The 18,151-nt window shown below is 48.8% G+C and overlaps 1 long non-coding RNA gene across 1 annotated transcript in view; it reads right to left on the bottom strand.

The window, feature by feature from the left end:
- LOC107984618 (uncharacterized) overlaps positions 1–16,863 on the bottom strand; it is a 46,289-nt gene extending 29,426 nt beyond the window's left edge. The window contains exons 1-2 of the long non-coding RNA XR_001750032.2: positions 16,633–16,863; positions 11,823–12,185 (exon numbers count right to left, since the gene is read on the bottom strand). This is a non-coding gene — a long non-coding RNA (uncharacterized LOC107984618). The remainder of the gene's footprint in view (positions 1–11,822; positions 12,186–16,632) is intronic.
- Between the last annotated feature and the right edge of the window lie 1,288 nt (positions 16,864–18,151).

The following is an 18,151-nucleotide window of genomic DNA, read 5'->3' as shown; positions in this document are numbered from 1 at the left end:
ACCCTGAGACAGTGCAGAAGCTAAAATCTCTACCAGGTTTTAGGATCCCTTCATTCTCACAACCACAAGGTCCTGGTGTATGTATGCATTCCTTGTGAAAGGAGTAAGATGAAAAGTGAAAAGTGAGGCAAAGACACCTGCCCTCCCCCCTGCCCTCCGGAGCCTGGCGACAGGGACATTGGCTCTCTTCACAGCCAGCCTGGAGGCCTTTGGGTCGTTTCCATCCCTGTGGCCAGTCTGCAACATGATTTTTAATACTGCATTTATTTAACCACATTTTAATGTTGTAGGAAAAAATTCTGTTTGGGGACATTTTGCTCAGATTACTTTGTTTCTGTCGCTCAAGAATTTCATGGTCACTCCATCCATGGAAAATCCAGAATTTTCCTCAATGCCTCAATTGTACATTTCTTCTCAATGCCTCAATTTTACATTTCTCTTGCTGACATGAACCCAAAAAAGTATGCATCACATTACTGAAGAGGGATATGCATCCCTCGAAAAGCCTCGTGATGACAGAGCCTTGGGTACATCAGGCTCAAAGGTCTGGCGGCTCAGCCATGGTACGAAATGGTTATTTCTAGAGTGAACACCCAGTTATGGCTATAGCCCCTCTCTCTCTCTCTGACATCCACCTCCTCTATTGGAAATCTCTGGTCTCGTGTGTCCCGAATCTTTACCGCGTTTCCCCTTAGACAGCCCCAAGCAAGAATGCAAACAGGGAAGCATTTATCAAGCGCCTCCTGAGGCGGGCACTGTGCCAACCTAACACGGGCAGATGGCAACGTCGTCCCTCCCAAACGCCTCACTGCTGCCCGAGTGCCAGCTTCTGCATTTGAAGGGAATTCCTGCCACCCTCTCAAGCCTGTTGCTCACGGTGGCATTTTCAGAACTTGTCACTAGTGGCAACTTCTGATCATTTCATTCAATGAAGGGTCATTGTTGCAAACCTGGTGAGTTGCAAAGATTCACGCAACCACCGAGTCAGGCTCAGAGGGTCCATGATGACTTCATCCTGCCCTTTCCCTTTTGCAGGGATGTCACTCTGGGTGAGTGAACGCACACCTCCCGGCCTTGGTTTCTTTGTCTGTATGATAAAGAAATCAAGTTGGCTTCCTAGGGCCTGCGTGAAGGTTACACGAAGTAGGAATGTACAACAGAGGACACCAGCTGCTATCTGAGGCTGTTCGGGAGAGTGGGGCCTGTGGATACAAGGCACTTTGGTGCTACTGAGCATTGGAGGGTTCTCCTGCCGGGTCCATGTGCTCCAGGTCTGGGACAAAGCAAGAGAGACCCCCAGGGTCACAGGACAGACATTCACACGGCCAAGAGCCCACGAGCAGAGTCTCAAGGGGGGATGGGCCAGGACACTGAATCTAGGTCTGAGGAGCAGAGGCCCATGCTGGCCCCAAGTGCCAGGCCATCATGCAGGGCACGTTCCTGGTGCACGGGAGAGATGCAGCGTATCTTAATTGGGTTGGCTTAGCTAAAGCAAGCTCTTGGAAGACCTTCACTGCCTGCAGGGCACACATCACACCCGGCCTGTGCTCTGTGCTGATTCCCACATAGCTGGCTCTATCACCAGCTCACTCCTACGCCCCCAGTCCTGGAAGCTACCGATATTTGAAATATCAGGAAAGTATGTTTGCCTAGAAGATATATGACAAAACTTAATCCATCTCTTGAAAACAGGCCTTTGATGCATACAAGAGAGAGGAACCCAAATGCACAGCCCTCCAAGGCAGGTCCCACCCGTGGAACCACACCCACCTCACCCCTGCTCCTGCCAGGCAGCCCTGACCCCTCCATGCACTTACTCCAGGGTAAGCCCCTCCCACGCATGGCACCCTGGAAGGGCCTGAGAAGCCACGCACCGCTTTCCCAAGACTGCACCTCAACCCCCTTCCTGCTGGAGCAGCCCTGGCCTGAGCACGAGGACGACAGGTCCCCGGTCCCCCGTCACATCCCCTGCACCCTTCGCCCCAGCTTCTCACAGCCCTTTCCCTGACAGGTTCCCGTCGTAGTTCATCCCTGAACTGCATACCCATTAAAGAAGGCCAAGGCCAAGCAGAATGTCCCAAAATAAAAGAGGAAATGGCCAGAACTGGGTCCCCACCACCCGATCGGATTCTTCCCTTCCTTCTACCGATGTAGCTTCAGCCCCCAGGCCAGGGGCCAGCTGTCCTTTCAAAGTCTTTAATGGAAAGTTCCCACTATCAAAAAAAAAAAAAAAAGGCACACACCAGGGCCAAGGGAACACCCAGTACAAGTGCAGAGAATCGAGGGGGTGTTTTCATCAGCACTCCCAGGGGAGGGAGCCACCAGCCACCCCAGCACCCCATGTGGCCACTGCTGCCCCCCACCCAGCGCCCCTCTCGGCCTGAGCCCTCCCTACACAGCTGATCTCCTGAGAAGAGAGAGCTAGGCAGGGCTCCCTCAGTCCCTTCAGACATTGCAGAGTTCCAGCTTCCAAAGCTGAGTTGTGACTATAAATTGGACATTTTATACACATCCCAGCAAATCTCATGAGTGGACCGTGGGTTCAAGGAAGCATTCGGGCCACAGTTGGTGGTGGCGGTGGTGTTCTCTAGCCTTCAGCGCAGTGGCCACACAAGGGGAGCAGCCATGCTCAGGGGAGGGAGGCCCAGGCCCGGGAAGAAGGCAGCCTGCCTTCTTTCTAGGGGACTTCAGGGCATGGGGACTGAGCACCTGAGAAGTTCACAGCCCCTTTGACCACAGTACAAGTAAAGCATGGGACGTGGCATCGCTCACTCACCCCAGCCATGCTGGCTCCATGCTCTGTGACACGAATACACGAATGCACAGTACACGGAGGACAGAGGGGCGAGCACCTCTGCTCACATTCTCCTGAGGACTAGAAATTTAAATGGAGCTGACTGTGAGTAGGCAAAGCCTGTGTCCAGCCTCTCGACTCAGGGCGGCACAGGGTCCCGCAGTACAGGATCCCATGGCGGAGGTTGCCCAGAGGCACAGGGAGGTTCCAGACACAGCCAGGCTGGTCCTGCTCCAGCTCCTTTCCTGTGCCCCTCCCCTACTTTTATGTCCACAACTTCCCCATACACAAAGGTGGTTCTTCCTACAAAGACCCAGCGACGTGCTCGCTCCTTCAGAGCCCTAAAGGCTGCGGACGCTGGCACCTGTGTGCTGCTCTGGAGGAATGAGGTGCTCAGGGTGGGGCTGCCCCTCTTAGCACAAAGGTTCAGGGACACTTTTCCTCTGGCTCAGGAGGCATCCTGCTCATACAGGTAAAGCTCCAAATCATTCCAGAGATCACCAACAGTTGTCTGGGTGGTGTGTATTATTTTTCTGCTTGTCTAGTCTTAAATTGACTAGAATGAACTTTTATTACTTTTATAAAGAAAAATAAAGTTCGGAAATTAAGTGATGACCCGGTGAATTTTATATGGGTAGCAAGTTTTAACGGTAATTTCAAAACATGTAAAAACCATAAGGTCCCATCTCACTTTAAAAAAATAAAAAGCCTACCTCAGTGAGACTGCACTGCCCTTCCTCTTGTCCCTCAGGTGGTAATTCTATCATTTTTTCATACCACATGGCTAATTCTATTTGAACACATTTGGCCACATCAGCGAATACCCTACACAGAGAGAAGACCGTCAACGTTGTGTTTGAGAAGATCCTAGGGGTCTTTTAGGACCACCGCAGCTCCAGGGGCTGCCGGTGACCAGGGCCCGGTCCTCAGGCTGCAGGATCTCTGTGGCCCAATTCAAGTTTGCAGACACCTTCCCTGGGCCTCTCTTGGCATCTCTTCTGCTCCCACCACAGCAGCAGAAACGAGTGAGCGGGGCCCTTCTCTCTCTTGTTGGACTGACATTAGAGACAAGTTCTAGGACGCCCGAAGTCTGTTCTGTTGGAATTCGTCTTTGCAATCACCTGTTTTGAAGGGATGGCTGTTACTAAACCCCTGCTGGGCCGTCTGGGCTTGTCCTTCCCCAGGCTGGGATGCTGTCATCTGTCACCAGCCCCACCCCAGGTTGATTTGGGCCAATGGCAGAAGCTTGTACAAAATTAGAGTATTTCAGAAAAGAGAGCTCGGTCACATGTTCATCAAGCCAGGCTGTGGGCTAGCAGTGTCTACATGCCCTACTAAGCCCACGGTTTCAGGAGGGCCACCTCGGACACCCAGGCCTCCCCATCGTGGTTGGCTCTCCTGCCCTGCCCACCTCTCTACAGATGCTTCTGTTCCCTTAGCCTCTCACTCCTCCCTTCTGAATATGCCATGGTTTTCCTGTCGGGACCCGGTCTAATAAATGCACATAGAGTCTAGAACAGTGATTCCCAAACTGTGTAAAAGAATGAACATGCATGGATTGGGAGTGTCTGCAAATTCTCCTGCATGCAGGGGCTTAACAAGGTTTCAAGACCGCCACCCAGGAGCATGTCTTCTCCACAGCTCGGGGTCAATGTAAGGACTCTTCTGAATGGGTTCCTTCCTGTTCGGGGAACTTTTAAAGTTTTTTAAATATTTAATTATAAAAATTTACAGAAGAGTCCACATAGACAATCTGGATGGCAGGACATGTTCAAACAGGAGACTCAGCCTTCTCCATCCCCTCCCATTGCCCTCTTCAGCATTCAAGATGCCTGAGTCTCCCCCGTGAAGATGAGCCCCCAGGATCCGGCCAGCTCCCGGAGCCACCACGTACAGTCTTGCCCCGAATCAACAAAGGACACCATGTTCTTGTCTTGGGTACTGGTCATAAAGCACTCATTTGCTTTATTCTGCAGAAGCCGTTGTTTAGAGCATCTTCGGGGCTCCTCAGGAACAGAGCCCCAGAGCTCCTTTGAGGGAAGTTCCCAGGCTCATGAGTAGGCAGCGGCATCTGCCCAGACCAGACAAGCTTGGTGAAGCTTGAGTGCTGCATTTCTGGTGGGAGATGGAAAGAACACAGATCCCGGGACCCCCATCCTGGGAGGGTTTGGTACTGGGGTGAATGAAGTCAGCAGCACTGAAGGGCACTCACCTGAAAACAAGACGAGGCCCAGGCACGGGCTTCCCCGGAACCCTGGAGCGTGTGTGGAAGCTGAGATGAGAGGGCTTTCACAAACCAATGGGAAGCATAGTGATTCTGAGAAAACTTTTGGTTTTGCATTTATTGCTAGAGCCTGAATATAGTTGATCTCTTTTCAAGGGGAAAATGAAGATCTCAACTAAATTGCCTTCTTTTTGTAAAGTCTGTTTGTGCCCAGGATAAAAGAGAATATTTTATCCCTTTCAAAATCGAGCACTTTGTGTCTTTCTGAGCATCAGGTGTTCAGTGCAATGATTGTGCGGCTGATCGCCTCGAGATTCTGTTTGTTTCACACCTGTTTTAAAGCGTTGACCATTATAAATCTAAATGTTACCTCCACGGTTCCCTTCTACCTACATATCTCAGGGAAATGGATCCTGGGGGATAGATTTTCCCACAATAATCAATTCAGATATTCTTTCCCTCTCAGAAATTCTCAAATTAAAGAATCCTTTTATTGTTGAAGAGTCACGCAGATTGATTACCATCTTCCACCAAATCCAAGCTATGAAAATGGAAAGAAACATCCTGATTTAAAGATATTGACATGGAGAAAAGCACATGCTAGAATTCATGAGATACAGTGTGACAAGAGCTAACACTTACTGAGAGCTTATCCCGAGCTGTCATTCCAAGCCTGAGCTGTACCAGCCCCATGAGCTAGACCTGACCATCTCCCCAGCTTCACCTGAGAAGGTGAAGGCTTGGAGAGATGTGGGAACTTGCTCAAGGTGGTCTAGCCAGGTGCCTGTCCAGACAGCTGGACTCCGGAGTCTCACGCTCCCCATTTTTCTCCAATCATTTTCTCCCACCACCAACTGACCAGGTGTCCGCTCTTTCTGGGCAGCATTATGCTTACATTTCAGCATCCAGTTCAGGCTCCACAATGTCCAATTATTTGTGAACTTAAACACATGCCATTTATAATACTAATAACCTTTCATAAGAGAAGTCCTTGCCGTGAGATGAGAAAATAAACCATCATATTAAGACCACATTGCCCAACAGAGATGCAGTCCACACATTCTATAACCTCAGCCATTTTCTGGAGAAGTGCCCAATCCGGGAAGCCAGATGACTCTGACCTTAGACCAGGGCAAAGAGACACCTGTACTGAATGCCACACCTCAGAGCTTCCCTCTCTCACCCTCCCCGGGACACGGCATCCCTCAGGGATCCTGACCCAGGAGAAACACCCACTCAGATTGGGCCCCCCCATGACATACCATGGGTGCCAGGACCTCGGAATTCCCCAGACACCCACAAGGCCCCTTCCTGAGCCTGCAGGGAACTTCTCCCAGACATGTCTTCCCAAAGAAGATGTAAGAGGCTCTCTGTGGGGCGTGTGGATGGAGCTGAGATGCACAGGGCAGGAAGGGGGCAGCTCACCATGGCACTGAAGCTGGTTGGCCTGAATCCACCCAGCTCCTGTGCAGATGCCCTAGAAGGTGAGGATTCTGCGTTTAAATTAGACTTTTAGGTTCACGAACGTGAAGGCACATTCATGCAGGTAGGAGACAGACCCTGCTTGTGCAACCTGATTTATAACTGAAATGCTTAGACATGAAACATAAGAGCTACTCTTGCACTCGTGCTCTGGACGACACAAACATCAGGGAGGAGAAGCCAACTCTTCCTGTTTTGGAGTTTGGTGGTTTGCTTGCTGGAAGCCTGCTTTTATGGAGTTCAGTGGCTTGCTGGCTGGAAGCCTGCTTTCATGGATGACGGTACCACAAAAGACAGAATGTGAGGATTTAGATAGGCCCGGGGGTCAGCACTTTGATTTTGGCTGAAGGAAATAAGGCCTAGAGTCAGGATTGGAAATGACGGGTGGTTTCATATAATTAACAAAATCCAAAAGAAGGGAAACGCCTATGTTTATATGCAAAGGTAAGAAGCCACTTCTAAAGAATTAAAATGACCAGGGTAAGACACAGTCACCCTGCCAGACACCGCACACTGCACTAGACTTTTGCTGAATGCTCGGTGTTGCTGAGTGTGGCGCTGTGTGGATTTTCTTGGTTAATTCCTTTCCCTTTAAGTGTATGATTTCACAATCTTTGCTGCAAACCTAAAAATGATGGCAAAAATGTCTATAGCAGAACTCAATTACAGCCATTTCAGTAAAACCAGTTAGATAGGTGATTTGTGTTATAAAATGTATCGCTATTATATACTTTCTTTAAAATTAAAGATAGCTGCAGTATAAGGTGATATTGATACAATAAAAATTAACTCTCATTAATTAACCATTGTCTCCAGAAATAAGTACAATTGTAAGTCCTTAAACATCAATTCTGCACAGTCATGGTATAGGAAATAAATGTGTTCTTCATGTTGAAAATACATACCAGATATTTCTAGAATGATTAACAAATTCTCTACTGAACACTTTCTCCAAAGGGCCAGGAACTTTGATATAACAATTGTTTCCTAAAACACTTTAACTTTTCAAAAAGAAAAGAAATGATATTTTAAGAATGTATTTAATACTTTGCAGAAAGGACTGGAGCCTTTTTTTTTTTTTTTTTTTCGTTTTTGAGATAACACATCCTTGGTATATGGCATCCTTAATAATATACATAAGGCAAAACTAAAACTGATGTAAAATATATAATTAGATATTTTCAGGTTTTTCTGTCAGCAACGTGTATTTTTCAGAAATCGCCGGAGGAAGCTTCAGCCGTAGGTTTCTGAATCATGTGCTCAGGAGAGCACAGGGAGAATGAGATTGGCAAACCTTCTGTGTCGGCAGTATACAAGAAGCACTCATCTGTAAATAAGCTCCTAATTCTCAATAGCACAAGGAAAAAAAGGAAATCTTCCAAGTAGTGACAGGCTTTGTACCAGATCTTTGAACTTTGGAGGTGCAATTTGCATAGAGCAGTAAAAAAGCACTTAACCCACGCCCCCAAAGTTTCAGAAAGGAGAAGGTCGAGTAGAGCAGGATTAAAAGAGAAAAAAGAAATGGACGTGCTGTGGTGCAATTTTTGACAGATAATTATCGCCATAATGTCCTTTGAAATTGTTGACATTAGCTGCAACATGAAAATGCACCTGCTGATTTGGTCCCAGATTTCCCTAATATTTTTCTAATGACCAAAACTCGTCACTTTTAATCTACATTCTTATTCCCTTACAAATAAAATATATGTATTCAAACACCTCTATTCCATATGTGTAGACTTTCTTATCTTGTAGATAATCTAGTCCAGCCAAGATAAATACAAATTATTTGATGATTAAGGATTAAAAGGCTTAAATGAAGTTAATGGGAAAATAGAGGATCAGTAACAATAATGAAAAGACTTTGACTTTATTTACATTCACCTTAACGTAAGTTCATTGTATTTGCCTCTAATTTAAAAGATCAGCTTCCCCATATTAGGAAATGTTAGCCGGAGGAGAAAAGTCACAGGGAACAAATCGGTGCTGCACTGTGGATCTTATTCCCCATTTCTCTGTCTCCCTCCTCCACCTTGATAGCTAGTCCTACAGTTTAAGAAAGAAATCATCAGAGCCAGGTGAGTCCGTGGCCCTCATACCCATCAGGAACACCCACTGACCTAGCTGAGTCTTTTTCCAGACCAGAACAGCACTGGCGCTGTCCCAGTGTGTCCGAGGAGACGTGAGCAGCCAGCCACGGTCAGAGGGGGCAGGTGGTCACACTCCCATGGGTCACCTCCTCATGGGGTCTCCTTACAGAACCAAAGAAACTGCCACCACCCACCATGGTCATGACAGCAGGTGGCCCCAGGGCACAAGATGGGAGCCTGGAGGTGGGTGGTAGATGTTTGACCCTTGTGGGTCTTCAGACTGGATGCGGACAACCTGCCGTCCGGGTACAGCAAGCCTCGGCCAGACACCAGGCAAGGGCAGATGAGTGGGCTGGGGGGCACTCACCTGGAAAAGTTCCAGATCACCAGTGATCCCCCCCACCCCCAAGTCCCTGCCTCATCTACCCCTATCCTGTCCCTGGGCCCCCTTGTTCCCACACATATGCCCCACATTGGTCCCCGGGGAGATCAAGCCTTTCAAAAAGAAAGGAGCAGCTCTTTCCCCAACAAGAGGGACTTGTGGCTGGCACATGGGCTGCTGGGGCCCTGAGTCAGGAGGAAGAAGTCTTTCCTCAGGGTCAGCCCTAGGCTTTAGCCGGAGTAAGGGCAGAGTGGGCTCGGGGCACGAGCAGGGGATAGGAGGGGACCTTGGCATCCAGTGGAGCTGGGAAGAGGGCCTGGGTGAAGAGCTGCACGCACAACGACGTCCCGGCCCTCTGTCTGCTGAGGTCCCCTGTCCCCGATGTGTCGGCACTCAGTCCTGGCTCCCCTCTGAAGGCCTGCTCTGGCCATATGCCCACCACACACCCAGATGCCACCTGGCTCAGCTCTGGGGCTGTGCAGTGCCCAGTGGTGTGTGTGAGCCACCGTCTGTAACCAGCCCTCCCCATGGAACTGTTCCTCTGCCGAGAGTAGGGCTACCCCGAGCAGTGCAGGGAAAACATGTGCTTGGCCGTGGAAAACAGGGGACAGTCAGCATAAGTGGCTTTTATCTCTTCAAATAACCGGAGAGAACATCAGACTCAAGACCAGAGTCCAACAGGCCAAAGCCGTCCTTTCCGACACCTGCCCACTGAGTGGGCTTCCCCTTTCGGGGCCAGATGCCCAGACCCACCCGACAGAACCCCTCCTTCCCTCCCCTCTCCTCTCTGCACACTTCTGCAGCAAGGTTTGCACAGCTCAGAATCAGCAGCCTGCACACCCTCAGGCAAAAAAAAGCCAAGTTATCACCCGTTAAAACATGTACTGTTAAGGGAAGAACTTTGCATCAACACTACCAAAGAGTTAAAATGAAGGAAATTATCATTTTCAGGCTGAACTGTGCTGTGACATATGATCCACGATTTGCATCCAGACGAAATCTATTTATCATTTCTTCCACAGTAAAAATGCTCCAGGAGCGTTCCTCCACAGTTTCCTTTACCTTGAGTTGAAGGGTAATTCTTTGACAATTAGCAATCTTTTCTTTCACATTGATTCAGCGATTCAACTTCAGCATAAGAATAAAGCCCCCATGAGCTGCAGCTCTGTCAGCAGGAGAAAGTCAGAAGGAACCTGTCACTTGCAGGGGGTTTTTGACAAAGTGTACAATGGGAGCCAAAAGAATCCTGGGTTTTTTCCCCCCAAATAAATATGAAATAGATTTAAAAATCAGAATGTATTAAGGTGCTCATGATATTGAAAAGCACAGAACACTTACTGAGGCAGAGTAAAATATATACAATTAGAATCCTCATTTTGAAAGACTTCAATGAAGTAATATTTGCTAGAGCTGAAACGCATGGAGGCATTTCAGGAAGGCATAAAAACATGCACTTGCATCAACTAATTGGATAATGACATATGTTACCACAACTGTCAACTTCTACTGCGCCTTTAAAAAGTTCCTTTTGTTAAGCATGTAATTTCATTCTTAAAACACCAAAACAACACACAAATACCTGATAGCCGGCATTAACCCTGGCACACATCCCTGACATAGCTGTGTGCACGCAAGCACTCCTGCGCTTCTGTCCGTTTCCATTTTGCTCTCATTTCCATGAGGGCAGGCTCACCATGCACTGATTCAGCTTCTCCGGACACTGTCAAAGTTTAGTCGTTTAAAATTGCACATCGTGGTACTCATTTCAATTTCTCCATTCTTGAGTTCTGGACCAAGTGCAGAGTTTGTAGAGCCCTTAGGCTAAGCCAGGAAGATACCCACTATCCGTTAGGAGCCTCACAGGAAAGGTAACCCGGAGAGAAGCCACCAGGGACACGGAAAGCACCGCTGTCCCCCCTGACAATCGCAGTCCAGCCAGACTGACGCTTCCCTTCCTGCTGCTGTCATTGCCCACCTCATTCTGGACACTTCTCTGCTTTCAAAGGTGTGTTTTCTTTTCTTTCTTTCTATTTTTGTCCACTGAACTGTGTCTAGAGCCAAGCAAATGGAACTTAAAACAGCAACCAAAAATCATTCCCAAAAGAGCAAGTAGAGTATTCCATGAGGAGCCTCATCTCATGTTTACAATCTCAGTAGACATGCTAAGCTGAATCATTCCTACAGCACTGTGTTGCATGGTAACAACAAATGACCTCATGGAAAAGTCCCCTTTTATCTGACTGGCCCGGACCCCGGCCCAGGGCTGTGGATCTGGGAAGACGGAGGCTATTTCCACATGCCGACATAAAGATGGGGATGGCACACGTTTTTGCAATCACCAGAACACAACTTTTCACCAACTTGAGATAGAGAACAAAAGTCTCTGTTGCCCAAGGAGCAGCGTCCAGTGAGCTGTCTGCAGGCAGCAGTTCCAGCCCCCCCCCCCCGGATGCCAGCAGCCTCCTGCAACTGCACAGCCAACTTCCAAGCTAAGTTCAGCAAACACAGATTTCACCAGAAGAAGCCATCGTTCCGCCTCCAGGCCACACTATGCCCGGCGCCGGCAGGTACCACTGGGTCTCCAAGGACCCCAGACATGGCCATGAGGGCCAGGACAGCTCCTGTGACCAGCAGACATGACCACAAGGCTCCCTCGAAAGGTCCCGCGCGGCCGAGAGGCACAGCGGCCGTCAGATCCACCTGGGAGCCAGGTGGAAGCCGCCGCAGTCCAGACGCCGCTTCCCTCCACGCACCCACGCACCGTGTCCTGCTCTCTCCCTCTCCACCCTGCCCCCCACCCCCACAGACTTAGCAGAAAATCCACAGCAAGTTGTCCCCCCAACACTTTACCTGGTCCCAGCTGAGCCCGCGACGCCGCCTGCTCACCTCCCGAGCGCCGCGTCCCGTCGCCTGCTGGTGCCAGGCTGTGGAGCTGGCGGGTCCCGGAGAAACGAGCCTGCTCCTGTGAGCACCGTGCAGCCGCGGCAGCCTTCGCAGGGATGAGCACAGCTTGAGCCCGTCCACAATTAACCGAATATTGTATAGCGGCAACAAATCAACAACGAAACCGGCGCGCAAATAAAGCCGGCTGCCGTTTCCGAGGGACGCAGAAGGGCAGAGCCACCGAGTGCTTCATTTCTTCTTCAAGATCATTCCAGCCAGCTCCTTCTGCTATTTTTACTGTACCATAATGCACTAGGTCTGGCTTTTACCCTATTGAAAGAACATGAATATATTATTATCCACACAAAAGAGCAGGTTATTGTTTATGAATTACCAGCCTTCCCAGCAACAAAGGCTATTTTCATAAGAAAACTCAATTTCATTTTAGCTCCAATTTGATTACCAGCTGAAGAAAAGAAGCTCTGCTCCTAACCCTCAAAGGATTTTTATTCATACCATTGAATGGGCTTTATTGCTTCCTTTTCAAAACTGACGTAGAAAGCTTTTAGAGTAAAACATTGACAAAAAATTATTGCGCTGCTATTTTGTGCAATAACAGAGCTGAAGAGGGGCAATGATTTCTCAGTCATCCTTCACTGTACTCCAGAATAGCGGAGGCTGGAATTAATGACAGACCAGGGAGAGGAGGCACGCTAAGGTCTCACAATGCACGTCAAATCTAAATGATCACTATACATTGAAAGGCCCCCAAAAAAGCCCACAGCTGATTGATTCATGGCTTTCACAAGAAAGACAGGCTTGAAGAGTTTATTGCACCACAATTTACTCGGAATTATCATAAAAATGAATGTAGAGGCTGAATGTCACCCCGGCACGCTCCAAAACCACACGCCCAGGGACAAAGTTCACCCAGGAGCCGCCGCTGCACACCCCACGCTGCGCGCCAAGAGCTGTCAGGGTGGTCGTCGTTGGACTTGACTCGGGCTCTGTGGAGAATCTTTACCCCACGCCAGAATAGGTTTTCATCTTCACAATTTTAAAGTGGAAAAAAAGTCTGTACCAGCAAACAATAGCCCAGGGGCCCGGAGGCGGATGTGCCTGCCCCGCACCTGCGCGGTGCGGCGGAGGGCCCTGGTGGGCTTGTGCCCCTCCGCCTGTTTGTTCTCATTCCCCAAAGAAGTGAGAAGTTTGCGAGGACTGGAGTGCTCACAAGAGTGGTTTAGGGGTACATGTTTAAATGATACAGGTAGTTCTTGTTTAAATGACTTTCTCCACATGCACGGCACTTTTCCTTTCATTAAAATTTGAGCAATAATGGCTAAGCTAGTGGGGTTGCCAAAGAAACCTGCACTTGCGGTTATGCAAATAGAGCCTGCAGTGTAATAACTTGGTGTCCTCAAGGCCCCCAGCCAACAGCCTGTTCACGTAGAAGCCTCAGGTGAGATCCAATGACTTTGGCCAACCAGCACTGAAAGGTGCCTTAAAACCTGTCATCAGCCTGGGGACCCTTCTCCTCTCCTGCCTTACTCATCCAGCACAGTCAGGATTTATAAGCGAAGAATTTGTGATCTTCAATGTTTTGTTTGGTAAGGAGTGCTCGTATTTTAAAACATGCCAGAGAAAAGGTAAAACTCCCCCCGTTGGCCATTGCATTTTCAAAAGACTTGTTGAATTCAAACAGCATCAATGTTTTCTCAGTTCTCTGTCAGAGTCAAGCAATCTGTCACCTCTCTCTCTCTCTCTCAGACAGGTTCTCAAGCACAGAAATTATACTGGCTGTCTTCCGGGGAGGAGCTGGGTTGATATAGGAGCCACGCGTCCTTCCCAGGTGATCGCACACACCAGGAGAGGCTGGCCCGGCTCAACCCTGCCGCCTCGAACTCATCCCCAACCACCCGCCCCATGGGGCTCCACCTGAAATCTGGGGCTTCTCACAGGAGATCCTCTGGGGTCTCGGGGTTGCCACATGTGCCTTGAAGGTTCTCAGAATCATTGCTCTAAACTGAATGACTTAAAGGCACCTGAACATGACTGTTTGGTAGAACACAGGAAGATGTCAGCTGTGCTAAATCCTTTTCCATGGCTCCCCTCGTCCTGGCCCCAGAGTGGCTACAATCTCGTAACCACTAGCACTGTATTTCCACAATGTCAAGGCTGATCATTTACAAAAGCAAACTTCCATCAAGAATTCATGTGCTTACAGATATCTCAGTGCTTGGCATTGGGCTGACAACAAAAGACAAGTAACCCATGCATATTTTGCCTTTCTTAGGGCTTCGGTTTCTGCACACGCAGCCTGTTCATTAACAATATACAGTCAGTTCTAAAGTGAAACGTTGATGGTGGTGACGTTCTAAAGCTACTGTGAATACTGAATTTGCAAGTACTGAGCCTTTGCTCCCAGAGAAATACATCTGGTCACAACAGTTTTGTCAATCAATTCATACATGACCTTGTTTAATGTTTGTTTCTATTTAATAACACATTATTCAATATGGATTGTGGAGTCATTAACATTGAACTCACAGCCAGCAGCATGCCTGAGTGGCTTCTTGAACACACATGTTATCTCCATGAGGCACAGCACAACCTTCTTGCACTTAGGAACCCTAGACAGCCCTTCAGTCCTGTTCTCGTGGGTCATCTTACATAGTGAAATCACCAGCAAAAGCACAGAAATTTGAAAAACATGGCACTCGAGAGACTGCAAAAAGGACACTGTCCACAGGATGAGAGGAAGTCTCAGTATCTCCTTGCTTGCTATCATCTGGGGATACGCACGTCTGGTGACACTTTTTTTTTTTTTTGAGACAGAGTCTCACTCTGTCACCCAGGCTGGAGTGTAGTGGCGCGATCTCGACTCACTATAACTTCCACCTCCCAGGTTCGCGCGATTCTCCTGCCTCAGCCTCCCTAGTAGCTGGGACAACAGGCGTGCACCACCATGCCTGGCTAATTTTTGTATTTTTTTGGTAGAGACGGGTTTCATCATGTCGGCCAGGCTAATCTCAAACTCCTGACCTCAAGTGATCCACCGGCCTCAGCCTCCCAAAGTGCTGGGATGACAGGCGTGAACCACCACGCCTGGCCCAGTGACACATGTTTTACCGTTTTACCATTCTAAGCATGCCTGCAAACGACCGCAAAATCTCCAAGATTATTCATTTTGGGGGGGTTACAAATTCTAGCAAGTAGCAAAGCTGCTGTGGACTGAACTGCATCTTCCCCAAACTCATATGTTGAAGTCCTAAACCCAGCGTGACCGGATTCGGAGATGGGGTCTTGGGAGGTAACTGGGGTTAGATAAGGTCATGAGGGTGGGGTCCTGATCAATAGGTCTGTGGCCCTGTAAGACAAGGAAAAGAGAGAGGGCTCTTTCTCCCTCTCTCCACCACGTGAGGACATGGTGAGGACATCTGTGAGCCAGGAGGAGGCCCTCGCCAGGAACGAAACAGCTGGCACCCTGACCTTGGACTTCCAGCCTCCGCCACAGTGAGAAATAAATGTCAGCTGTTTAAGCCACCCAGTCTGCAGTACTGTGTTGTAACAACCCAAGCTGATGAAGATAAAAGCTAGAAGCGGAACATCCATGAGGCACGCTCTATGACCAGCCAACACTCGTTGAGCACCTCCTGTTTACCAACTGGTGTCTGCATGAGCCGGACCAGAGCTGACTGGAGAGTCCCAGAGTGTGGGGGGGACTCAAAGAGTGAGACCGGAGGAGCGCCCTGGAAGACGCTGGGCCCGCGTTTCGAGGAGTGGTGACATTCGAGGCTACAGAATGAAGCGACAGCCAGAGGGAGAGAAGGGCAGCTCCTCGGCAGGGGCACAGGGCCGGGCCCAGCCTGAGCCCATCTGGGGGAGCTGGGAGATGAGGCTGCAGCCTGTGTGACCACCTGGTGGCGGGACCTTTTCTCCAAATGTGGGTCTCGCACCCCTACCAGCACAGTCACCTGGCGGATGATGAGAAATAGAAGCTTCCGGGCCTGTCCTGCGTGGTCAGCTTGGCATCCCTGTTGTGGGGCCCTGGCAACCTGCTTTTCTGATTTGCCACCCAGTGACACCTACAAAGTGTAGGTGCTCTCAACCCTTAAGAGCCCTAAATCTGAGGGGCAAAATCATGTACAAAATAGATGCACACTCCCCAGTCAGTGATTTTATGTTCAAAATAAATACAAAGGGCGCACTGACCATGGAAGGGCATTTATCCTCCCAGCTGTGGCACTGTCCAGAAAGCCAAAAAGGATATCAAAATCAGACTGGGTGTTCCTGTCAGACACACCTGCAATTTGCTCATGGGACAACCCAGCCTTTTTGTCAAACTGTGAACCCCTCAAAGGCAGGTGCACCTTTATTCAAGTGGACACCTGCCACATCAGTAGCTGCTCAATAAAATACCACTGTGCAATGGCTTAGACTAGATATACTGGCTAGAGAACTCGGAAAGAGGAAATCCTGAGTGTCATATTATACTCTGACTGCAGCTGAATGCCAAGAAGCAAGGCAATTACGGAAAACCATGGATTCAAATACTATAGGAGTTTGTTTACTTAAAGGAAAAAAGGAAAAGATCTTTGGAATTGTGAACCCTCACTCACATTTCCAAACAATGTAGAGCTTCTTTCCACCACAGTGAATTGGTTCTCTTCCTGCCGCCTCATCCATAAGCACATAAACTCCCTTTCAACCAAAGACTTCCCTGGCTTCCAGAATTTGGAAGCAAAGAAATAAAACCACTGTGCCAACAAGAAAATACCTTATCCTGTAGGCAGCTTCCTTATCCCATCAGCAGAACTATATAATTTGAGTTCCAGAAAGTTACATCTGATCTTCCAGAGTTTCAGGATATCCTGCCAATCTTTGTCCTGTAGGGAGAGTTGAGACCTCTGAAAATCAGAGCTTTGCAACAGATTATAACCAAGGAGGCCAAGGAAATGAAATAACCATGTGATCACAAGCAACCAAAGTTCCCCCTGATCCATCCTGAGTGGCCGCATCCCCCCTTGCTGACAAGCAGTGACATGCGTGAGTGCCTTGATCAGAATATGACATAACAAACGTCACTGTTTCCTCAGAGCCTCTAGCTAGCTTGGGAAGATACTTTCTATAAGTCTGATGGTATTATAGGAGACGTTCAAGATTCACTAGACATTTCAAGAAGCAGGTGAAACTGTCATTCACTTCTCAAGAAGAAAATCTAAAAATTACGCTAGGATTAAATCCGACTCCATTTTTTTATTCATTGTCCAGCTTTTATCTTATTCTACTTCATGCTTCAAAATTATAGCCTAGACATGTTAAATCAGTGCTTGCATTGTGTACTCACCCCTTCGTTCCCCCCTTTCCAATTCTCAAAAGATGGAGAATCTGGCCCTACCTTTGTAGTAGTCGGCTCATAGCTTGTGACAGTGAATGCACATTCAGAATTAGAATCAGGGTTGGTATCAGCTACTTTACCCTCTATTCCTGCATATGTAACAGTAAGAAAGTGAGCCAGGTTCAACCCAGAGTTAGGAAGTTTCTATTTTAAATCCTTCCGTATTAACGAGAATTTTCTGAATTTGGTCCAGCAACATTGCTCCCGTGATAGGCATCTTAGGCTCCAAAGTCATAGGCGGTCCCCGGGGATGGGCATGGCCGTCCCATGCCTTATCAGAGAGTGCAAAGCCCAGCCACACCCACCTGCACCCAGAGGGAGAACTGGGCCCCCAAATGCACCGGACCTGTCCTCACTCAACCTTCCCCCCAGGAAATACTTCCACACATCTAGAAAATGCTCCCTAATTCTGGAGAAGGAAATGTGCGTTCACCCCCCAACCTCTGCTCACACCCTACAGCCTTCCTGCTTCCAGTCAGAGGCGACCTGCTGCCTCCAGGGAGGCTTCTGGGAAGTGTATTTTACTATGAAGAGCACACGCGGCTGTGGGGCTGGGAGAGCGGCATGAACAAGCTTGGAGCGTCAGATGTTCACCCAGTGTGTCCTGGCCTCCTCTCTCTGACACCACCTGGGTGTCCAATGGTTCAGCTCAATCCTGACACTGGCTACCTGGGGTCAGCACGGACCTCACAGGCTAAGGGGCTCATCCCACAAGGCTGCCCCTGTTCAGATGCCAGCCACAAGCTCCTGGCTCCCAGACCACCCGTACTTCTGTCAGCTATACACTCTGGGGTTCCCACACTCCCTCTTTAGGTTTTGTCATTGCTAGAATGACTTACGGAACTTGAAAAATGCCGCATGAGTGGTCTAAGGGGCTGGTGAATCCGGCAGCCCTGGC

Source organism: Homo sapiens, chromosome 13, assembly GCF_000001405.40.
Source record: "Homo sapiens chromosome 13, GRCh38.p14 Primary Assembly".
Lineage (NCBI taxonomy): Eukaryota > Metazoa > Chordata > Mammalia > Primates > Hominidae > Homo > Homo sapiens.
This window is presented reverse-complemented; position numbering and strand designations above follow the sequence as displayed.